The sequence below is a fragment of the Homo sapiens genome, chromosome 6, assembly GCF_000001405.40.
Source record: "Homo sapiens chromosome 6, GRCh38.p14 Primary Assembly".
Classification (NCBI taxonomy): domain Eukaryota; kingdom Metazoa; phylum Chordata; class Mammalia; order Primates; family Hominidae; genus Homo; species Homo sapiens.
Genome location: NC_000006.12, coordinates 130,826,880 through 130,852,022, shown reverse-complemented (window position 1 = coordinate 130,852,022; position 25,143 = coordinate 130,826,880). Strand labels below are relative to the sequence as shown.

At 39.6% G+C, this 25,143-nt stretch overlaps 2 protein-coding genes across 24 annotated transcripts in view, besides 1 other annotated feature; one reads left to right on the top strand and one right to left on the bottom strand.

Annotated features, from left to right (window-relative positions):
• The window catches only part of EPB41L2 (erythrocyte membrane protein band 4.1 like 2), a 223,899-nt gene extending 211,223 nt beyond the window's left edge, over positions 1-12,676 (top strand). For all 23 annotated transcript variants that reach the window (NR_146620.2, NM_001135554.2, NM_001350314.2 and 20 more), the window contains one exon: positions 11,425-12,676. The gene's annotated coding sequence lies outside the window, so the exon portion shown is untranslated. The remainder of the gene's footprint in view (positions 1-11,424) is intronic.
• Positions 2,905-3,044: an enhancer, noted in NCBI's record as "active region_25062". NCBI's record gives its function as "activates an Ori minimal core promoter by ATAC-STARR-seq in GM12878 lymphoblastoid cells {active_cell/tissue: GM12878}" and the evidence as "EXISTENCE:reporter gene assay evidence [ECO:0000049][PMID:35858748]".
• Positions 12,677-14,887: 2,211 nt separating the features above from the next.
• Positions 14,888-24,617, bottom strand: SMLR1 (small leucine rich protein 1). Its single transcript, NM_001195597.2, has 2 exons — positions 24,372-24,617; positions 14,888-17,153 (listed from the first exon to the last, which is right to left on the bottom strand). Exons 1-2 carry the CDS (start codon positions 24,607-24,609, stop codon positions 17,068-17,070), a joined length of 324 nt encoding a protein of 107 aa, NP_001182526.1. The 5' UTR covers positions 24,610-24,617; the 3' UTR covers positions 14,888-17,067.
• Between the last annotated feature and the right edge of the window lie 526 nt (positions 24,618-25,143).

The window sequence follows — 25,143 nt, the reverse complement described above, 5'->3', positions numbered from 1 at the left end:
TTTGGGAGCACAAGAGCTTTGAGAGTGCAACAGGCTTCTGAGCAGGAGAGAGATTTGTGAGTCCCCTGAATGAATTGTGTACTGATGAAGCCTGTGTTTTGAGCTGTGTTATCCAGGGCTAGCTCAGAGCTGAGGTCTGGGAAACAGAGGCCATAAAGAAGGAGGAGCCAGGAGGCAGAAAGGAAACAGGGAAAAGGCGGAGGTGACACAAGCTGCAAGGCAAGATAACTTCAAGAAGGAGAGAGTAACCAAGTATTAAATATGGCAGAAAAACCAAATGAGCATGTTTTTGGAAATTGATGAACAGAAGTCAGCCTGGAGGCTTTGTCAGAGCTGTTTCAGTGTGGTAGTAGGGAGAGAGCCCTGTAACAGGTTGAAAACACATGAAAACATATTAAGTTGAAAACCCAGTGACAGGACCTTTTGCTCTTCCATGAGCTCTGCCTGCCTTCATCTGAGAAGATGGGAGAACATTAGGTGTCATGGAGCCACTGGAGCTAGTGCTGTGATTATTAAAAGCAGGGTCAGTTCACCATTCACTGGAACCTCTTAGACATCCCACCCGTTAACCTGCAGTGAATACCTCTAAATTAGTCGTGTTGCTTTTTCCACTGTTGTGGGTACACGAATGCCAATTTCTAAACAAAACAATCTTGTGTTTGTTTCAAAGTCAGGGTGATGTGCAGGGTTTCAAAACATGAACTCATAAGCCAAACAGGAAATTAACATTAGCTGCCTAGCTGACTTGATGAGAGAAAAGAACCCTGTTGGCTGAACTGAGCTCTAGCTAATCATGAGCCACTCATTTACATGTGGGCCCTGATGAGTGTCACCCCTGACCTTCAAAGAGAACAAACCTATTGACTTCCAGATGACTATTTCAGTTCTGCAGGCATATCAGGTGTGTTGCATTTTTATTTTATTCTGTTTGCCTAGTTGTGTTAGTCTCATACCTAAAATTAGCATCTTATTACTGCTTCATTTTCAATATAGATTAATCACACCTCAGATGAGGACTGACTTCTGCATAGAAATAAAAAGCTAGTTTTGGTTTAGTGAGTTTTAGGCATAGCCAGTTTTCACTCTGAAATGCTGTGGAATGTTCTCATTTAACATTGCTAAATCTACCAGGTGTTATCAATGAGTCAGTTACAATCTATTTGAACTCCCCCCACACAAGAGGTGCTGGGTACCACTGCTCTAATGCGTACATTAAGACCAGGCAGTAGTCACTCATTCCCCAAGGCTTGCTCTTGGACATAACCATTACTGACTATTATTTTTTCAAATGAAACTATCTTTATTGTTTTTTTCTGGTAATAAAAGAGGGGTTATAACTTTTTAAAAGGGAGAGATAGTAGGAAATGTCAGTGACCCATAAGTCCCATGCTCCCAGAGATAGAGAATTTCTTTCCAGTGTGTATGTGTGTACTTATAAATATACACACATGTAGACACTCACATACACACACCCCCCCTTTCCATATAGGCTGATATTGTGATTCTTGCTTTTTCCTCCACTTAATAGTACTTTATAGTTATTGGTCCTTGTCGTTACCTCATCATTTTTCAGCAGCTGTTGAATGGATGAGTGATGGTTTACTTAAATAACCCCTATTAATGGGCATTTAAATTACCCCTCAGTTTTCACAATTATTACACAGCTTCAAAGATTATACTTGTTTGTACATTTTTGTATGTTGATCTCATTGTTTCTCCAGGGCAAATATGTTTAAAAGTGGAGTTGGTATGCCACGAAGGTTGTTTTTTGTCTTTGTTTTTTTGAGACAGAGTTTCCCTCTTGTCGCGCAGACTGGAGTGCAGTGGCACGATCTTGGTTCACTGTAACTTCCGCCTCCCAGGTTCAAGCGTTTCTCCTACCTCAGCCTCCCGAGTAGCTGGAATTACAGGCGTGTGCTACCATGCCCAGCTAATTTTTGTATTTTTAGTAGAGACGGGGTTTCCCTATGTTGGCCAGGCTGGTCTCGAACTCCTGACTGACCTCAGGTGATCCACCCGCCTTGGCTTCCCAAAGTGCTGGGATTACAGGCATAAGCCACCACTGCTTGCCCACCAAGGGTTTTTGACATATTACCAAATTGTCCTCCTTAATGGTTCTGCAAACATAGACCGCCACTAGCAGTTTGTGAGCATATGTTTCCCCACAGCCTTGGCAACAACTAAACATTATTAAACATTAAAAAAAAGCTTTGCTAGTCTGATCAGGAAAGAGCATTTGTTTCTCCCTTGTTTAAACTGTGAGGAAAGAACCTTCTTTGTGTTTTTTCAATGCTAGTGAAGTTGGAATACATGCATACATATGCTACACACAGGGACAGACACACACATATAATTTGCATTTCTTTTGGTTGCCAGTTTGTGTCCTTTGTCCATTTTCCTATTCAGGTGTCTATTTTTTTCTCTTATAGAGATTAGTTGAATGGACGCATGATGGTTTACTTAATCCCTACTAATGGGCATTTAAATTATCCCTCAGTTTTCACGGTTATCACACAGCCTAGTAACTTGAAAAGATGAGTAACTAATCTTTTCAGATTAAAGTTATTAACCTCTTAGTCACAAATGCTACATTTTCCCTCCAATTTAAAAAATTGGCACCAAAAGTGGGGAGAGGGGCAAGACAGAACTGACCGCTTAGAGACAAGCAGGCCATATCCACAGTTTTGTTTTTTGTTTTGGCCTAAAGGGTATATCTTAGAATTTGAATCAATTATTAGTGCTTAAACATTAGAAGATAGTCAGCAATTTTAGAAAAATCAGAAGCTCTGATGACATTGAGCCTGCTCTCCCTGTGGTTACTATGCTGGAGCTTAGTAGGTGTGGCCAGCATCAGGCTGGGAGGAGCTCTCTAGGTCACCACAGTGCTACTGCCTGTCATATCCTGTCTTTATGTTGAGGCCCTTGGGGCCCAGTCTCCTTATGCATATATGTTACCCATCTGGCCTCTGACCGTGTTGGGGTGGTGGTTATGACTTTGTTACCCTGTCCTAGGCTGTGTTTGAGAGTCTGGAAATGTAAAGAATATTTAATGTTAAACTGCCTGTAGAGCATCTTCGTGTCTCTCCTCTAACCTTCTTTATAAGGAAATAGGATCCTAGACATTAACGTAACTGTCATAGGTCACCTGTGCTAAGTATAGATTGATTTATCTCAAGGCTTTTCTGTTAGATACCCCAGATACCAATTGTTTAAACATGTAAATTTTGTGGGTGGCATCAGAGGGGAATTTTACTATGGCAACTAATTAACAAGTTTGTGTATGTGTGTGTTTTTGTAAAGATACTCCTGTCCTTACGAGGATTACAGTCCAAGGACATATTGATGCTTTCTTGCATCAAAATAGTTGAGTTAGCATTAGAGCACATGGAAGTCTGGACCTGTTCTGTCCAGTATGGTAGCCAATACCCACTTGTGGCTATTGAGCACTTGAAATGTGGCTAGTTCAAATTGAGATATGTTGTAAGTATAAGATATTTACTGGATTTCAGACATGAGAAAAAAGTAAATTATTTCTAATTTTTAAATTAATTACTTATTGAAATAATAATTTGGATATATTGGGTTTAATAACTACATTAAAATTACATATACATGTTCCTTTTTATTTTTTGAAATGTGGCTTCTAGAAAATTTACATATGTGGCTCACATTCATTGCTTGCAGTATATTTCTCTTGGACAGTGTTGATCTGTGGAGGGTAGGAGGGATGAAGTGAGAGGACAACCTTAAACTAATATGGCACGATGCAGTTTAGATTCTGTGTGTGTGTGTGTGTGTGTGTGTGTGTGTGTGTGTGTGTGTGAGAGAGAGAGAGAGAGACAGAGAGAGACAGAGACTGTTAGGGGGCAGGGAATAGTGTTTTAAGCTATCTTTATTTAACTTTGAGGAAAAGTGATTTTTTTCCCATGTTCCCTCAGATAAAAAGTGAGAAAGTTGGGTCTAGAAATTTCTTTTGATTCCCACTAACCTTCCTTTTTTCTAAAAGATGAAAGCTTTGTTAGTTTGTATTTTTAAGCTCTTATTTGATGCTACAGAGAAATGTTTTCTCATTACTACCCATCTTATGAACCTAAGTGACAAAAGCTCAGCTCTAATAGAGTATACTGAGTGGAGCCTGACCATAGTTCATTTGTTATTTAAAAGAAGCTTTAAGATTTTGTAGAACGCTTTTATATCAAATTCCCAGAAGATTTGACCTAGCAGAGTGAACCAGAAGACCTTAACAGCTTTAGGGCCGGCACTACTACTTTTAGAAACTTGTGTTACGGCTTCAGTGATTTGAGGAAACCAGTTTTTTAAAGAAGTAAGAGTCCTCATGGGATATCATAGATATAGTTAATCAACAAAAGAGAACAGAAAAATGAACCTGATGTTTTTCTACTTAAACAAGAAAATTGGCAGATGAGAGTAATGGTAAACATGGGAATTAGTGCTTCTTCCTAAAGATATAATGCAATTCTGTTGTTTTTTTTCCCTGCCGTTTCCTCAAGCTCTTATTCTTCAGTCTTACGTTACAAATTAGTCCCTGATACTTTCACTTCTGGATTCATTAATCTATATTATGAGCCTGTTATGTTCAAGGGACTATTATAGTTGTGTGTGAGAGGGGAAGGCATAGGAACATGCATAAAAATAATGTTCAGGGCACAAAAATAGTATATTTGAAGAGAAGCCTAGATAAAGGGCTGTGGAAGTTGACAGGAGAAATGCTTCTGATTGGCCAAACAAGACAAAGCTCTCCAGAAAGGTTGCAGGAAAGCTCCTCTGTGCAAAGCACCAAGGGCAATCTGGATAGTTGGAGATTGGGGAGGGAAGAAAGAGCACATGGGAAAACAATGGGAAGGATGTCGGGAAAAGCAAACCTCCATCGTGGTTATGTATAGAGTTCTCAGCACAGCTGGAAACATTTGTTGAAGGCAAATTGCAGATGGTCTTACATGCCATGTCCTTTAGTAATATGAATTTATCAGTAGTGTGTATGATTGACTGAAAAGCTTCTAGATTAGATGAAGTACCCTGTAAAGAAATCAAGATACTGGTTCAGACAGTTAGTAATGGGGATACTGAACTGGACATCTCTAAGAGTAAGATTGAATTTAACTTGGAAGCAAAGCCAGGAGTAAAATATCATAGGAACATCTATAAAAGTTAAATCCGATATTTTTTTGCTTTTCAGTCAGATGAAGCTCAGTATCTTTATTACTATTTGAAGTAAAGTTATATTAGCATGTAGGCCTTTGAGAGTAATACAGTTCATTCAGAGGACACAGGGCTCAGGAAGGTCAACCCAGTCCCAAAAGGCCTGAAGATGGGACTTGGGCCTTAAAGGACCCACAGAAGAGCCTCCTAAGAAGGTGGGGTCTCCAAACAGCATGAACATGTTCCAGCAAACCAGGAAAAGCAAAAGCATTTTGCTGAATTATTTGTAGAACAGATACTGTGCTTCATTTGACTGCAGAGAAAAACACTGGATTTAATTTCTCCCTGTACTCAGCAGATACACAAATATCTGTGACAGAAGAAAACGGCAGTAGTTTAGTGATAGCAGATTGGACATAAGCAGTTCTCAAACTGAATGGTCTCAGGACCACTTTATACACCTAAAAATTATTGAAGGCCCAAAGAGATTTTGTTCATGTGAATTGTATCTATTGAAATTTATCATAAGTCAAAACTGAGAAGTTTTATAAATATTTATTAAGTTAAAAATCATCACATAGTGAAAGAAGTCTGTCTAGAAAGACTATATATGTTGTATGATCAAACTGTATGACATCCTGGAAAAGGTAAAATGATGGAGACAGTAAAAGGGTCATTCGCTGCCACTGATCTCCTCAAGAGTCTTAATATCGGGAAGCTATCAAGCTCATGGTGGCCAAAACACCATTTTCCAAATTCTAATGTTCACCTAAAAGCTTGCATTTTATCATTGGCAACAAGTACTGTCAATTGTTTCTCTTGAGGCGACAGGCTCAACTTCATTTTCAATAAAAGGTTTACCTAGTATCCAAATTGAATAACATCCCTTGTCTGTCAGTGATTCTCTCAAGTAAGAAAGGTGGTTGATGAAAAAGCAGCTGCTTCAACTCACAGTTCAGACATTCCCATAGATGCTTTTCCTCTAGACATTGTTGTACTTCTGTATGCAGCGGGAATGGCGTGTGCATACTTCCCATTTCATCACACAGAATATTAAAAAGATGCACTCAGGCTTGAGATGTAGGAAAATTAATATTTCTTCTGTGTCCTCAAGGACTTCCTTAAGTGAAACTGTCTTCTCTATTTTACTGCAAGTGCACACTGGTAAAGAATAAGGTGCCAGGCCAGGCCTGGTGGCTCACGCCTGTAATCCGAACACGTTGGGAGGTTGAGGTGAGAGGATTGCTTGAGGCCTGGAGTTCGAGACCAGACTGGGCAGTATAGCAAGAGCTTGTGTCCACAAAAAACTTTTTAAAAATTAGCTGGGTGTGATGGTATGTGCCTGTAGTCCTAGCTACTTGGGAGGCTGAGGCAGGAGGATCCCTTGAGTCCAGGAGTTCAAGGCTGCAGTGAGCTATGATTGCACCACTGCACCCCAGCCTGGGTGACAGAGCAAGACCCTGCCTCTAAAAAAAAAAGAATAAGGTTACCTCAAATATAGTTTGATTCCTCTGCTTCGACTTATGTAGGCTGAGCTGCCAGTAGATTTACTCACCATTATTTGTTTACACCATTGGTGAAAATGCCAACACACTGAAAAGGACATAATGTCTTAGTATGATAATGAAAACAGTTTTGACTCTATGGTCCCCTTAAAGAGACTCAGCAGTCCTCAGGGGCTGCAGGCTACACTTCGTGTATATTTTAATGGTAATACAGACATTTTAAGAATTGACTTTTTTCTGGGTTTAACCAAATGGAAATTTAGCATGCTTGCATTTTTGGCTCTGGGATTTTTATTTTATTTATTTATTTGTTTATTTGAGACAGTCTCGTTCTGGCAGCCAGGCTGGAGTGCAGTGGCATGATCTCAGCTCACTGCAACTTCTGCCTCGTGGGTTCAAGCGATTCTCCTGCCTCAGCCCCCCAGTAGCTGGGATTACAGGCGTGTGCCACCATGCCCAGCTAATTTTTATGTCTTTAGTAGAGATTGGGTTTCGCCATGTTGGCCAGGCTGGTCCCAAACTCCTGATCTCAGGTGATCTGCCCTTCTCGACCTCCCAAAGTGCTGGGATTACAGGAGTGAACCACCGTGCCCAGCTGATTTTTATAATTTAAACAATGGAAATTCTGTTTAGAAATTAAAATCAAATATGCAAATTGAGGATAAAAGAAGAATAAAATGAAAAGTTCAGCATTTGAAATAACTGTCAAATCCATAAAGTATCATATTTAAAATTTAATTTTACACCTGAGTGCACAGAGTTCATTTTTGCTTAGGAAATGCAGTGTCTTAAGACAGTCTTGCTCTGTGGCCAGGCTGGAGTACAGTGGCACGATCCCAGCTTGCGCAACCTTCGACTCCCAGCTTCAAGTGATTCTCCTGCCTCAGCCTCCTGAGTAGCTGGGACTACAGGCGCCCACCACCATGCCCAGCTAATTTTTTTTTGTATTTTTAGTAGAGACGGGATTTCACCATGTTGGCCACATGGTTTCACCATGTGAAACCCCTGACCTCGTGATCTGCCTGCCTCAGCCTCCCAAAATGCTGGGATTACAGGCGTCAGCCACCATGCCCAGCCTTAAGTAAATATTTCATTCCCGTTTTCAGAATATTTGATTATGTTATTGCTCTGTGGTAATTGAATGTTCATTAATCTGAAGAAATGTTGTTTTCTTGTATTATTTGCATTGTTGTATTATCTGGGGGAAAACCACATTTTTGCATTTTTATTGAGACTTCTCTCTAGATGAGTGCTGTACCACTTAAAGGCAGCATTGCTAGTATTTTCTGTCAAATGCTTTTTGAAATCAGTTTACTGAGTCAATTTCTGGAGTAGAGCACTCAAGATTGAGATCAATACATGAGCCCTTTGTCTCTAGAAACTCAAAGATTGTGCTTTTCGGGCAAGATCATAGAACTTGTATGTATGGACTTTTTTCACCACTGCTCATTGGGTGCACTGAGAGGGTAAATAACTCTCTGATCCCTCTGTGAGTGCTTAAGACAAGGCATGCAACCAACATATATCCTTGAAGAACTTGAACATAGAATTACTCCTGTGATTAGATGAAATTGAGCCACATTGATCTATTCTCACATTGGCCAAAAGAGGGGGACATAGACTAAGGAATGTGACTATAGTAGTTAGAATGTTTACTGACATTGTATAGGCCAGGGTGGAACAGTGACACTTGGAAACAGAACAGTGGTATGAATGCTTTTATTTTTGTTGACTTCACCACAATTCTAATACATAAAGTATAATCCATATGCTTAACAGCTATGATCTTACCCAAACTCAGGATGAACCTGTGATAGTGTAAAAGTGAAAGCAGGTTGAATTAATGTCTATAATTAATGCCTGCCAATTTGTATTGACAAAGATGCCCAGACTTCTATGAATATGAGTAGAATTCAAGCTTAGAGAAAGAAAAGAATGTTCTTGAAACTTTTACAGCTTTTACATGAAGAGCCATTGCCTAGTTTTCAGTTTGGTTGGAATATGTAATAAATCATTTAGTCCCAAATTCTAGCCTGTAAAAAATTGTCAGATATTAAGTTTATTTCTCACAGACACCTGCCAGAGGACAGAAAAGTACAGTATTTCTGATGCTTATGTAGCAGTGACATTGGTGATTCTGTCTTTATCTTTTCTCTTTTCTAGCTCAAAAGCTAACTGTTTAGTACTTAGGAACGTATTTCTACATGTGTTTAAGTGCAAGAAACAGTCAAAAAAGATAAGTGGATATGTAAATAAAGTCTTCGTACAATAAGTTACTTCTTGTTCATCCACGCCAATAAGGAACTGGGATGTTTTGACACAATATCTAATAACTCAGAGTTAAACTTGATTTACTGATTTTTAAAGAATGAGAAAATAAATAAGTTTTAACATTAAAATGGCAATAAAATGATTCTGAAAGCTGTTTGGAATCCTAAGAGCACATGAAGGTTATCATTTATAATATTCATTACCAGAAAAAAAGTTTATTAATGGAAATAAATTACATTTTGAGTTTATTTGGGTAACTATGTCTTTTTCTCTATATTTAGCTCAGTAAATGTTGAAGTTTTTTGAGATCAAGATCCCTTCAATTCCAACATATGCTTAGTTTCCTGTAATAACTTTGAAACAAGTTTAATTTTAGCTTTTCTTTACAAATTTATGACTCATTACAAAGTGAAATTTTTATTTTTGATGAAAACAGATGCAAAGCAATAAAGTGACATAGGGCCTAGAGAAAATGGAGACTAGAATCCTAAACATTGTTCTCTCTGTAGGTTTTCAGGCCCTGATAGCATCAGGGGTTTGTTTTTTTAATAACATAAACTAGGCAAAATGGCAGCTGTGTTCAACAAATGATGCATATTTACTAAACAAAGCAAATGGAAATACCAGCTCTGAAGGAACAAGAACAGGTTCCATGACTGAAGGTGTCATATAACTGCCAAATCCAATTTGATTGGTAATTGTATCCATTTCCCTTCATCATCCCCCACATTTCTTTTCATAATTACTAACCTAAAAAAAGACTTTCTATTTTCTCCATTGATTTTTTTTTCCCCCAGCCTAGAATCAAACAGAAGTACTAATGAGTAATGAAATAACCTAAGGCAGACAACAGGGTAGAAAACAATGAAGTTGATTAATCAATCTGTCCTGAATAATCAAGAGGCTTTAATATTATCTGTGATAAATCTAAATGGTAGGAACTTTTTTCATTAAAGCAAGACTTAATTTTACCTAACCAAAAGAGTGTACATTCTAATTGACTTTGGGAGCAGTGTCTCTTGGAAAAGACGTTAATTACCACTCTGCACTGTCCTTTGTGATTACCTATCATTTGCCAAAACTTCCAACCAAGTTCAAATATAAAATGAAACAATTGCCACCTTAAAACCCTTTTCTCTTTCAGGGCCATTGCACCATCATGGGTTTTTTAAAAAGTCTTCTCCACTTACCTTTGATTGTGGACTTCTGCAAGACTCTGTGGCTTTCATTTATTCCTATGCTCACATGAGACTTAGTTCTATCTGTTGGTTTCACTTATCCCTTGTTCTGATGCCCAAATCTATATCCCTAGGTCTAATGCTTCACCCAGGCTGTAAGCCTTCATTCTCTCCTTTTTTTGAGGTCCCAGACTCCAAACCTTATCATCCTGTCTTATACTTACTTCTTAACCACCACACTCTGATTATTCTCCTTAGTGGTGCCTCTCAAATTTCTCTCCCACCTGATTTCTGTGGTGACCACTCAAGTCTGGGTCCTGGCCATCTGGCAGGAATGCCTGACATTTGTCATCTTCCTCATCCAGCTGGACTCCTGCACTGGTCTCCTGACTGTTGTTCCTGCCTCTACTCCTTGCCGGCTTCAGCTTATTCATCACACTGAAGCCACAGCAGTGTTTTCAAAACGTAAATCACACCATGACAAACCCTTCCTCAAAACCAAAGAAGAAACGATCCCAACCTCCTTTCCTGGGCTTATCATGCCCTGCATGACTGGCCAACCCCAAGTTCTTTGACCAGTCTTCTATCTCTCTGTGGCTCTTGCACTCTGCCCTGGACCATTGTAGTAGATTGCCAACTGGTCTTTTCGTCCAAATGTTTTTTCTTAATTCATTTTTTTTTTTTTTTGGTCAATTAGATCAAGCTGGTACTTCTCAGTCTATTAAAGAATAGACCTAATATTTTGTACCTTTATTTACTACTCACTATACCAATGCTCAACTTTAGTAATGTCCCTTTCTTCACCGTCCTATTCCTTCCATTCGTTTCTGCCTCCTCCCCCAACATACATCTTACTGTCATAATACTGTGTACTTCTTCACCTCCATGCCTCTTTCCTCATTGTGTTTTTCCACCTGAAGCACCATTTCCATTCGTTTTAGCACAAAGAAAATAGACTTTGACTTTCCCTTTCCCTGAGTATAGCTTTAAAACCTACCTTGGTTTCTGTCTTTAAATTCTTACATATGAATTGTCTCTGTTTTATGCTAATAAATTCTTTTGCAGTGAACTCTTATTTGCCAGTTGCTTCTAGCGTACTTGTCAATTCTCCAGGTATTTTAAGGCCCTCGAGAGTGGAATAGTGTCTCATGCTTGTCTTCTGGTAAACATACTATTTAATGTAAGACTAGGCAGACAGTAACTGTTGATTACTTGATTGAAAACTTGATGAATGTTACTTAACATTTTTTTCAAGCCTGTGTTTTTGGAATATTTAAGCCTTCTGTTTTTTTTTTTTTTTTCTCTTCTAGAAAGTCATTTTTTAAACAACACTCAACTTTGTGAACCCCTGAAGATTTTTTGACCGTTCCAAGTCTTAATGCCACACCACTATTCCAGCGAATTTATGCTACAACTGGTAACAATGACCAGAAGCCTGAAGAATTAAAATGCCAACACCAAACCTTTCCTTACCAGCTCTGGTCTATATTGCTCCCATGCATTTAATATATTATTTTGTTTTATAACCACTTCTAAATATTCTCAGTTCTTTCTTTTTGTTGTTGTTAATTAAGGGGTTTTGGTTTTGTTTTCTGTTTACTTTGTGTGCAACTACCTGCTTTTAATGACTCACTTTGATCAAATGACAGTGAACAAAGCCAGCCCAAGCTGGTAAGGTGCTGTTCACTTGAACAGGTGCTGTTGCGCAGAAAGGAAACTCTGTGACTAATTTAGATAGTGGCTTTCCTTCTTCTGGATTCTTTTCATTGAATTCTCACAGTAAATATTTACGGAGTTTTCAAATTGCAGCAAATATACTGTATGAGAAAATATTAATACAGATTAAAAGCCTTTCTTACATCTTGAAAATTTTCTAATATTTGAGAATTTCACAGGGATGTTTTTTATATTGGACCCTTTTGACTTTCCAGTCCTGTGACTTTCTACTTTTAGTAGAGAGTCAGAATCTCTGGACTGGAGAATAATGAAGAAGTTCACTGACTGTGCACTGTGCTTAGAGACCCTGCCGCACCACAGTGCCAATGCTTGTCAGACACATGCCCTTCGGCAGCATTCCAGAACAGGAGGGAAGAGAAAGAGAAAACTTTCTTCCCTTCTACTAAAAGATTCAGGCAGCTTAAAACCTTAGTGCTTTCTTTCTTAACATACCCACATTTCAATTCTTTCCATTATTTGAACACTTGGGTAGAACTCTTGCTTTGTATTAAACCTCTTTGTCTACACATGTAAAACTTACCTTTTGTTATTGAGCAGGCCTATCTCTTTCAGATAGTTTTATGATTCACACAGGTTTGAGGATGCTGGGGAGAGGGGGAGGGGGCTGTGGTGGTGTTCTGTTGGTTACAAGAAAGTTATACCATTTAAAGCTGGCACCAGAGACCCGATAGGGACTTATTAACTATATTGAACATTTTTTCCTTTGCCTTTGACCCTATGTATAGTTACGATGCCAGATTAGATTTATAGCAGCCTCAAGTTGTATTAAATGATATTTTGCTTCCTGTAATACTATTATAAAATAAAGTTTGTTTATTCTCTAAACTTGTCACTTCTCTTTTTCTAAAGGGTTAAAAAAACAAACTTGAGTGATATTTTTCATCAGAAGTCTTAGTATTTTGTGAAAAGTAGCATTTCAAAATCTGTTTTCAGCTCTTCTGTAATTTGATGATGCTGCCAACATCACTATTTGAAACGGTGAAAGCGACGTTGAAAGTTTGTAAATCTAATGTTGAGAGTGCCAGATTCCTTCTGCCTGGTTACATAATCCATTCCAGCTTTTACGAATTCTCCGAGGGATATTTTTGCTTGTTTTCTTTGTGCATTTTTCATTTTGTTTTCAGGAAATATTTTAGCTGTACCATCTGAATCTTGCTCCTCTGCTTCATGTCCTTCTTTACTTTGTGTCCACTGGCCCTCTGTATATCAGGCAAACTAGGCCACTGAGGGGCTGCATCCCAGTCTGATTGGGATGCTTTCTTGTGAAACTTTTGTTGGGGCACACCAGGTTATGGTGTTATTATAGAGCAAATAACCAACAGGGTACATTTCTTGTAAAGTGTTATATAGAATTTTTTTCTCTAGTCATTTAAAGTAAGTACATTAAATACAATTTGCATAACTGTCGTCTTTGAGATCTGTTTCCACTAAATTATCTCTCGCCTTGTGAAAGGCCTTTCTCACTTTCTCTATAATTATTACAAAAACAACAACTCCCTGGAGAATCCGATTCAGCAAGCCAAGCCTTAGAAATATTGTGGAACCAAATGTGATTTTGCAAATGTATGCCTCATCAGAAAGTTTGTATAACACTCACATTGAAATCATAGGTTGCGCTTCCCTGGGTGTTTTGAAGACCATATTTGCAGTGACAGGAAGAAAGTTTGTCTTCACAGGTCCCATGGACTAAGAAAGGTGGTGTGCGGGGATTAGGGCTCGGTTTTATTTAGCTGAGACAGCAAGAACAGGGTTTAGGGTCCTGGGGGCATTGAGAGAATCTATGGGAATTAATACCCACAGAGCCACTTGAAACAATGTTTATACTTATTCCCACCTGTAGCTACAGGAGCAAGGCTGTCTTTTAAAAAAATATTTTGTATTATAAAGTATTTCTCTGGCTGTTATAATCTCATCTGGTAAATTGGGCTAAATGATAGAATAAATAGGAAAGTAGATCAAACAAGGTTTTGGAAATTGGATTTGAAAAATTTGAAAAGTGGAAAGAATATTTTTAAATCCCCAATCTGTTTGATGGTAATTATACATTGGATGGTATTTTTGAATACATGTTTTCTGCTGTCTTCTGCTTGTCACTCACATGTTAGACTGTATGTCATTGAATACATTGTGATAAATTCAGAGGCCTCTTCTGACTGGCACACCAATTACAAAGTCAGAAAGTAAGAATCTTGTGAGCATGCTTTGAAAATTCTAACAACTTTTTGATAAATAGAAATCAGAAAATTTATTTCCAAAATGTGCTTAATGTCATGAATTCTGAGAGTTATCAGAGTTCTGAATTTTGATGGTTATCAGAGTTGTGAACTCTGATTTCTGATATTCAGTCTTGCCAAAGAACTTGAGATTTCACCAAAAAGCTGTTCTTATTGTCTAGGAGTGTTTACCTCTTCTGAATTTTCCAATCGCTAAATTATGTCTGGAAAATTCTGGAGGCTGTTACCTGGCCAGATTATTTTTAAAAAACTTTTGCAAATAACATTTCAGAAAACATAATATGGGCTTTTTCTTGCCCAAATTGTTTTTCAGCTAGGTTTAGGATGTGCAGCAGTCATGGACCTGCAGTTTCCCAACACCAAATTGCCAAATTACCAACATGATTATCAAGAGAGATGAAAAGATAGTATTTACAGCTTTGAGTTCATTCTGTTAAATTTTTAGCTGGTCACAGTGGGTCACACCTGTAATCCCAGCATTTTGGGAGGTAGAGGCAGGAGCATAGCTTGAGGCCAGGAATTCAAGAATAGCATGGTCAACCTACTGAGACCCTGTATCTACCAAAAACAAAAAACAAAACAAAAAAACCCAAGTGAGGCTGTGCACTCCTGTCCTGTAGCCAGAGGCTGAGGTAGTAGGATCATTTGAGCCCCAAGAGTTTGAGGTTTCAGTGAGCTATGATTGCACAACTTCACCCCAGCCTGAGTGACATAGCAAGACCTGTCTCCAAAATAATATATATATTTATATATGTTTTTTGGTAAATTTATTGAATAATAAATAATGACAATGTGACAGAAATTAAAGCACCTATTGAAGTGTTTTATTGAAGGTCTCCAGTTGGAGAAACATTATCCCTATTGGTGAACCGTTTCAGATACTATAGCATTTGGAATAAGATTCGGAACTGTTGTAGTGAGACCATTGAGGGTTGTGGGAGCATTTCTGGCCCCTGGTGAAAGGCCTTGGAGCATAGGATGCAGCTGAATGTAGGGTAATGTAGGGAGACTGCCGACTTGGTCTAGGTGGAGGCCAAGACAGCAGGAATGCAAAGGACCGAAGCAGTTCAGGACTGAATGAGATCTTAAACTGGACCTATGAGAATGAGAAGTGCAAAGGCCTGACTGTGCAGCTGCTTGGTAAAGCTGTGCTGGATAAAGGATTTGACAAATTCGTTAGCAGTGCCTTCAGGCAGATGATAAACCCTTGGGACTTGTTCCTTCATGGGAAAATGAACATGTTTCTGCCCCTCTCTACATATAAAAAACATTCATAAATCTAGTCAGTTTCATTGGAGATTCTCTGCTCTCATTGGATGGCAGAAAAGAAACAGGCCTTGTTCTAAAGTACTTGGTAGTGCTTGGTGCTGAAAACATGTCTATATAGAGCTCATGTGTTATCACAATAGCTGAGATGGTGGACCAGCACCCACCAGAGCTGGAACTGGCCTTCTGAAGTGCCCATTATTGGAGGAAGATGGAGCAAACCTTGATAGCTGAGCCACAAATGTGGCTGGCAGCTGCCTGAGATAGGAATACGATCTGTCCTTTCACACTTTCTGTTAAAGAAAGCATTTTTACATAAGCTGATTTCCCCCAGGGGCTAAAAAGAGATCTCTCCCAAAACTGAAAGAATATTGTTATTCCTTCCATATGGCAAGAGCACTGTTACTCTGAATTAGTTCAGTCTGAAAACCCCGGCAGACATTTTCATTGTAATCAAGTGCAGTAAAATGCAGAAGTGAGTGTCTTTATTCTAGCAATAAGTTTTATATTATGCAAGAAGTGCAAATGGAAACTACTCACGGAATGGGTATCAAGAATTTTAGGGTGGGGCTGAGGGGAAGAAGCAGTAAAAATCCAGCACTGATGGTATATTTTTGCTTTGGGTCATCCACACAACCTTTAGTATGACTGTAAGCCACTACTGAAACAGGTGCATTTCTTACAGGTGACCCCATTCATTATGTTTTATAAAGTGGATCACTCAGCCTGTTAATGTCCTGCACAAAGATTGGAATGTAACCAGTCTTACACTTAGAATGCATTGAACATCTTTGATTTATGTTAACTGGAAGAATGTGGGGAGCACAACAGTAACCACAATCTCGTTTAACTACCCCTAGAATTAAGTTTCTTTTCAATTACCTATGTTGTCTCTTTGGGGCTCCCACTGAAAAAGAACTGTAGTGAAATGTTGACTTATCCGCATAGTTAGATATAGCTCCCTGTATTTTGGTATTACAGGCAAAGACTTGTATTCTCCTCCTCAGGAATTATGTGAACATTCTGCCCTTTCCTTTTCCCATTACCAAATTGCCAACATTTCCAGGTCGCATCATGCTGAAAGCTACATTTGTGGGTGATCCATACCTAGTGTGGGGATACTCCACTTGTTTTGTGCATATTTGTGACAATAATGATTTGTGAAAGCAATCAGGAAAAGGAGAGAAGCAAAGTCAGGTCCAAAAATGATACCTGAACTGTGTCACTTAAGAGTTGCTGAACTGCAAGAAGAACGTGGAAATATTCTTGCATATGGAATCTACTGAGCTCTCTCCAAGGCATTCATCTTTTGCTATTCATTGGATCTCTACCAAGGTTTCTTCACCTCTAAAATCGGAATAATAGGGGTTCCTATGGGATTATGTAGTAAGATGCTGCAGAATTTTATTTTTTAAATATGCCGTTTAGAGCAGACACAGTCACAATAAAAGTTAAAAAGTTACAATGTGTCCAGTGTATATACCCAGGAAATCCATTCTTGGTACTTTTCAAGAGCTGCTGTTATACTGAGTCTCTGAGAAGTCCCCTTAGATAATAGCTGCCACTTTTCAGTATGGTTCAGAATGAGTATCTTAGTATTCTTTCTATTTTGCTATGGTTCTAGTTTATCAACCTACTTTATTAGCTGAACTGTTGGCCATTGCTTGCTGACCAGTAGAAACTCATTGTGCTTTAGTTATTGGAAAGTCCCCAACTTCACGTCCATTTCATTCTCTGGTACAGGGAAGAGCCATCCTTGGGATTATGTTGGCGATCACAGTTCTGGGACAGTTCTTCATTAACTGAAAGGAAAAATATTAGTTAATAATTTGGAGACATCTGAGTGCCATTGGTCATTTAGAGTTCATAAGGGCTGTTGGCCAGCATATCTGACACTGGTGGCCTTGGCGAGTCACAGAAGTCCAGGTCTTCCAAGCAGATCCTATTACAGGATCGATCCTTATCTCCTCAACCACATCCAGTGGAAATGTAAAGGCTTCTTTCTAAAGAATGGCCCTGGTTAGAGCAAACAAACTACCACTGTAATGAGAATTGTTACATGCTAAGTATATTTAGATTTTGTTGATTAAGTTGAAACTCCCACAGCAAGTCACAGTGTCTGCCCCTGCTCATCCCTCCCAAAAATGTGTCTGGGCACTTACAGTCTTTAGACAAGTCAAATTAGTTTTCTCCCTTTTACCTTTTGGTATATTTTACTGATGACTCTATTTCAGCTTTTTGCAACCTGCTCATTCCTTAACCCCTTAATATATAATTTCAGTTAAAGCTACTCTACTAAAATATTAAAACTCACCATGCCATCGAATTACTGAATCTAGTGGCATTTTCCAATCCCTAGTTTTCTTCCTCAGTAGCATTTGACACAACCCCTCTCTCTGTCTGCCCCCACCATTCTCCTCCCTTTGGCTTTTATTGTATGCCACCTGTGTGCTTTTATCTGCTCCTTAGCTTCAACTATTATGTCTCTGGCAATAACTAGATTTGATTTTTAGCCCTGAGATGCCTTCTGAGATCCTGACACATATTCGTTGGGATCTTCCTCGTACATCAGAAGACACAGCTCTCTTCCTGAAACCAGGAACAACTGATCCTGCTTTCATCCTCAAAAGTTTTGTTTTCAGAAGTATAATTAATCAAGCCAGAGACCAGGAGCTTCTAATCTCATGGGAGGTAATAAACATGTTTGTAGGCTTGAACCTGAAAATGCTCTCTTAGGCTCCCACATAAAGCCCATGCAATTTATCCCTTACTTGATACATTGTATGCCATGTACCCCAGGACACATGCACTTTCCCTGACCAGGCCTACACAAATGCTTATCATGTTAGGGAGGGTGCATATGTGTTGGAGAGTGACAAGTCCCTGACAACATGGGCCTCAAGATTTAGTAGCCAATACTTGCACTTGCTCTGTGCCAGGTGCTGTGTGAAGCCCTTTGCAATCTTTCTCGTTCAATTCTTGTGATGACATGATGAGCTAGTCATCATTATTATTAAATTGCTGATGAGCAAACTGGGGCAGAAAGAAATCATGATGAAGTAATTTGCCCAAGATCAGAGAAACTGATGAATTCAGGATTTGATTCCAGGCAATCTGACTTCAGAGACCACAGTTTCAGCTACTGAGTCACACTGACTTTCCGTAGATTATCGCTATTTCAAAGGTATTCCTTGGAGATGGCCCATGGCTTAGACTTTTAACTCACTGAAATATGAGTACTTTATTCCCTTTTACTCTTATTACCAATGGCTAACTGCACAATAGGGTGCTTTGAATGAGGGACCAGGATACAGATTGTAGAGCTGAAAATGGGTGACCTGAATAACGAGACAGAAAAAAAGTGAACTCTTAAGAGTGGAGAGAGAACTAGAATGGAGAGGCCAAGAGGAAGCTCGTCAATCTACAGTGAATCATCTACCCAGTGAATTAAGTGTCTTTGCTAGGCACCATATGGAGAGTGAGAGAAGTAAAATAATGCCTCCCTAACCTAAAAGAGCTTGCAATTTGGCTGTCATTTCATTTCATTGGGTCTATTAAGGAGGATGTGCAGAGAGATTCGATAGGCAGTTGGCCTTGAGAACACCCAAGGTCGTGGTTGTGGAAAATCCTGCAAGCAATGCAGTGTGCCCTGTTAGTTCCCAGGTAAAGAAATGTGATTTGACTCAGGCAGATCTTTATGTGGAGGAATCACCATCATCAATAACTATTATGACCCCCGTTATATTAAGAGATTGATCAAATTCTTCAAAGATGTTGTAAAATTTTTGCCTTGTTTAAAACTGTCCCACAATTGGTGGTAAGTTTATCTGTCTGGACCAAAAGGACTCAACAGATAGAACCCCTACTGAGGACTCGATACTCCAGAGGTGGTGCGTCGGTGAAGAGGGGCTATCTCTGGAGCCAGCCAGGGTTCGAATGCTCTTTCTACCACTTTGTGGGTAGGTAACCTTGGGCAATGTACTTAATTATCCCAAGACTATTTTAATAATAGCTACTGTAATGCTATAATGACACAAACAGTGCCTTCTTAGAATTCTCAAGCTAGCAGGATAATAATGACTAACAGTTGTTCAGAACAGGCACTGTTAAGAACCTTATATGTATTACCTCGCTTAATCACCATACCCGTCCTATAGTATGTCCTGCTGTTATTTCTATTTTACAGACCAGGAGGCCGAAGCTTCAAGAGGTTGAGTAGAGTGAGTATGAAGTTCAGTGGAAGATGCCTAGCCAGCCTGTATATTATCAGTACTTTAGTTATTTGTTTTAGGATGTGCGTTGCTGAAGGCCAAGACCTGGTTAACTACCTGACTTTCTTTTTGGGTCCAACTCCGTGCAAAAACATTTAGGCATTTCAGTAGACACGTTTTAAAATTTAATTAAATAATGACTATTTTTGGCCATGTTTGTCATTTTAGACAACAATTTGTTCCTGATCAGGGCGATGGTGTTTTGGGGGTGGGGTGGCCTGGAAGTAAAGGTTTGGGAATCTCAGGACTTAGGGAAATAAGATAATGAAAACTTCCAACCTAGAAGATGCAAAATGTCCATGACAATGGCTGATGCAGGGATTGGCTATGGGAAGTTCATGACACATACTTCCACCCCAAGAGCTACTCCTCAAGGAAATTGACACAGATTGAAGAGTGCGGGATGTTAGAGAATTTTCTTTCTTCCTTTGCGAGAAAATTGATGTTCCCTACATACTAATTAAATTTATGTGCACCATTACCTCCTAAGGCTTGAAGTGTGGGGATTAATGTTGAGTGATTACAATACCTCCACATGCTTTCCATCACATCTTAAAATGGCTCTCTTGTCTGACAGACCCAGCTGTATGAGACAGGCAAGCTGGTTTTCTGTTTTAGAATGCAGGACTCTGGGGTTCTGCGAACATGCCAGTTAATCTATCAATGTCCCTCTCTTTACAGGAATAAAACAGAAATGATTACATTTGCCATAACCCTGGTTGGAAGATTAACGACATGACATTTGACCATCTGTTGACAGTTTTTTAAGTGGATGCTGCGAAATGGAGATACAAACTGGTGATATTTTATTTCGAGTCCAGTGATCTCATTTGCCCTCAAACTGGAGAGAAGACAGTACTACTTACCCTTAGGAAAATGGTGCCAGAACTATAATTTTTTCAAAGGTACATGTTCTTAGAGTTTGGGTGGCTTTTCTTCTTAGGAGAAAGACTATTTGGAATTAAAGGGACCAGATCAACCTAAAAACGAAAATATCCATAGTCTATAGTTGGCTGCTAACACTGGAAAATATAATCAAGAATTACTCCAAAAAAAAATAGATGCACTGATTCCATGTGGGAGAGGAGGGAAATACAACCGAAAGATGGTTTGAATATAAACTTCTGGAGGGAATGTATAGTGCAGCTTGCCCATCAGCTGCTACCCTGACCAGGAATCTGTCAAGGACACCATCCAGGGCCCCCACATTTCTCACCCGGTTTGCTTTGGGCTCAGTCTCAACAGAACAAAAACTGCCATCAGGGAGGACTACTTTGATCCACTCAGCTATGCTGTCCTTCTTACAGGAAAGGGGTCCAGATCCAGACCCCGAGAGAGTTCTTGGATCTTGCACAAGAAAGAATTAAGGGCGAGTTCGTAAAGTGAAAGCAAGTTTATTAAGAAAGTAAAGGAATAAAAGAATGGCTACTCCACAGGCAGAGCAGCCCCGAGGGCTGCTGGTTGCCCATTTTTATGGTTAGTTCTTGATTATATGCTAAACGCGGGGGGGCGGTTATTTATGCCACCCCTTTTTAGGCCATGTAGGGTAACTTCCTGACATTGCCAGGGCATTTGTAAACTGTCGTGCTGGTGGGAGTGTAGCAGTAAGGGCGACCAGAGGTCACTGTCATCACCATCTTGGTTTTGGTGGGTGGGTTTTGGGTGGCTTCTTTCTGCAACCTATTTTATCAGCAAGGTCTTTATGACCTGTATCTTGTGCTGACCTCCTATCTCATCCTGTGACTTAGAATGCCTCAACTGTCTGGGAATGCAGCCCAGTAGGTCTCAGCCTCATTTTACCTAGCCCCTATTCAAGATGGAGTTGCTCTCGTTTAAATGCCTTTGACATCCTCACTGAGCATCTTCCAGATGGTTGGCAGTAATAGTGTTTCTAGTCATTAGTATTCTTTCCAACAATAAATTTCAGATGGGACCCCCATTGCGTTAAGTAACGGATGCACACATTTTTGTTCTGCCATGGTAAATAGCTCCTTCTGCCTCCTCACTCACTCTTCCTGTAATTCCTACCTGCAGCCTGGAAGCTCCAGGCACACTTCAATTAGAGCAAGCCCAAGTAGGAGACAATGGGGAAAAACCACAGAAAATGGAGGCTCATAACCTGGCTGGGGGTGCCCCTTCACTGTAGAGGATCCTGCCTCTGGTGAAGTGCTCAGCCCTGACACTGAGGGAAAAGTCCAGGTTATTATTATAGCTCTTTGATCAGACATTTAATGAGGCCAGAATCAGAAACATACAGATTTGCAACACCTCCTCTAACTTCTGCTGATTTTGCCAGATGCCTTCTGTGGTTTTCTAGAACTGGGATTATTTTCTCTTAGTCTTAAAAACTCATAGTAAAAATCTGTCCCAGTATCTGGGACAGTCTGTGGTATATGATAGACTAACAAATATTCGTTGAATAAATGAATGAGAATTATCGCTATCCAGAATATGACATAAGTTTGGAGTAAGCTTTAAAGTTGGTGTAATGACTCTACCCAGTGAGCATGGACCCTCATCGTGTGAGGCTGACATGCTTGCTTTCCCTTGGGTTAGATCCTATGCTACAAAAATAAAGGCTCTGAGATGGAAGGGACAGACTTAACAGTTGTGGGCAAGTCTAGAAGTCAAGAAAAGCTCAGTAGCATGTCAGAATTTGGAATGAAGAAAGGGGAAGGAAGTGTGAAGAAACAAGAGGTTATTGGGAGCCTCTGCTCCCTTCACTCAAATCCTTCAGAAGTAGTTTCAATTGTATTGAGTTACAAACTTAAGGTAGTAACTTTTTTCTGAGACTTGATCTCTAGATAACTTGCACGGGCAGGGAAGTGCTGAAGATAGGAGGGCATCAGCGTGCAATCATCACAGAGGTGTACACACATGGAGCACTTCCTCTGGGGCTGGCACTTGGACTGCATTTCCCCTGCATCAGCCCCTGTGATGCCAGGCCATACCCTGCACGTTGACTTTTCCAGGGTATTCTAAAGCAATGTGATTCATACATTTATACCTCAGAATTATCTAAATAAAATACCATAGACCCATTTACATGTTACATATTACAGATGTTTTTCCAGGAATGAGTAAAACTATAAAACAGATTCACCCTCTTTTTGCAGAGTCTATCCCAAATACCAGATGTCCCACTGAATTAACTGGCCTGTAATAGCTGTGAAGTAGAGGCCAATAAGGGATCTTGATATCCATGAGGCTATCTAGACCTGTACTTGCTGCAGTTTTTGAAATACTGAAAATTTCATCCAGCCAGAGATGAAACTTGGAAACTACAGGAAGTCTCCAAGTCCCCGATGATGACATCAGCATCGTTTTATTGTCCCTGGGACGTTCAATGTCAATGGGAGGCTGAGATGCAGTGAGTGTTACGGATGGGAATCTTTGCAACAACTCTGAAAAACATTTCGACTTGGAAGACACTGAAGGGAAGCCATGGTTATGATCTTGGGGATTTCTTATTTTCTCTTCCTTTTTGGAGGCTACTTCCGGGGTTCAGTGGTAATGAATGGCTGGGTGACAAGAGCATCCAACAGACTGGTCTTAGGGCAGTGGAGGATAAACTGACTTAACAAAGAAAAGGATTTATCACATGAATATTATAGAGTGAGGCAGAATATGGCTTGACCCCTCAGCAAAAGGGCTGTTCATAAAAATGAGACACACGAAAAATGAAAGGCTAGGGGCATATTTGAGTAAGTTGTGATGAAAAACTTGATTCCATGACATACTGTCTGTGTCTCCTAGGATTTCTTTATGTTCCAAATCTCATCTTAGGAAGAAATATCCCTCATTGCACTTCTGTTAGGTTATATATTATAGCATTAGTGATCTAAGATTACCACAAAAGCTTGGCAAGTCCAAGAAATGCCTTCATGTATGTTATTACATAAACAGATGTTCAAAGAGGAGGGTTTTTCAAATTTGTTTTAATATGACACTATCCAAATTAAGAAATATGACTGGTCTTTGTTGATTTTGCTAAAATAGTTATTAACCTTGATGATATTAATCTCATGTGTACTTGGCACAGTATTAACACATAGTCTATCTAGTTACAGCCCAGTTTCATTAATTTTAATTATAGCAGAATAAACAGTGTCAATCCAAGACCCGAATGTCCATTCCAAATCACCTTAAGCTTCCTGAGTTATTTGTTTGGTTTGGTTTTTTTCCACCTTAAGACTATAATCCCATGGAACGTTTACACCAAGGTCAAGTATTTATCTATCAGGGCTTTACATTTACAAAGACTGTGACAGCAGAATGTTTGGAACATTCCCTGACCAGAAGTTCAGTGGATGAGAAAGTTGTGTGTGTGCACACACGGGCGCATACACACGCACGGACATGCACACACATGGCCACATAAACACATCTGTCATGTAAAGAAGGCAGACCATGAACAATGTTTTCACATATGTGACTCTATTGCCTTGAGAGAGAGAGACAAGCAACCATATGTCAAAATTGCTGATTCACAGTATGTCTGTGAGGTGCTACACGTGAGGGCCCCCTACAGCAGACCTTCACATCTCAGCACAAGATCCACACAGTGGAAAGGATCAAACTTGGCCAAATTGATCAAGGAACTTGAGAGAACACTGATTGAGAAGTACCTACAAAATATATATATATATGTTTCTCCTGGCCAGAAAACACTGACAGTGCATCGGTATATTTCAAGATGTGCTGTGGGAAAGGATGCCCAAGTTCTTCCTTGTGTGGCCTCACACTTACCCTCAATCAGTTTGATCCTGAAGTAGGCGATGAGGAGGAGCAGCAGCAAAGTCACGGGGAGGAAGACCCCAAAGAACAGGAACCAGCCAGGGAGCTCCCTCATGAAAGCTGACAGCACAGAGCTCATTGCCAACCACACAGACCCCACGGGGACCATGGGAGTCACACTCAGGACCAGGGCAGCTTTCCTCTGAGTCTGTACTTGTTTTCTTCTGGGGCTCCGGCCTTTGCTCAGCATGTCTCAGTGGAATTTTTTGTGGACTTTGCTCTATTTAAATAGTCTGATGAATGCTGATAGGATTGCTGGCAGGTTACTCTGTAACTCAGCTACTAATTGTAGAGGAATTGAAAGGTCCATCTTCCAAGCTCTTTCAGAGATAAGTATGTATCTGGCAGCGGGGGAATGACCTTGGGAAGCTGAGTTTTTTTGTGATAAGTTTATTTGGAATGAAAATTACCCAACCAAGCAAAACTTGTTGTTATGTATATTCTTTCTATGTATTCTCAGACACAGAAGAGTTTTCCCTGTATTTCCTAAATTTTAGAGTTAAAAATTTCTTAATAGTTATGCCACTGTACCTAAGTACTTATGTCTAGAAAAAAGTGAATGTTCCTTTATACATAGTTGATACAATTAATACCAAGGAAAGAGAAACAAGGCTTTTCCCACAAGTAGAAATTCTTCCTCATATATCCTACTCAGAATACTTCTCTGAGAAGTGCATTGGTTTATTCATTTATTCAACAAACATTTAATTCTACTAGAACCCAA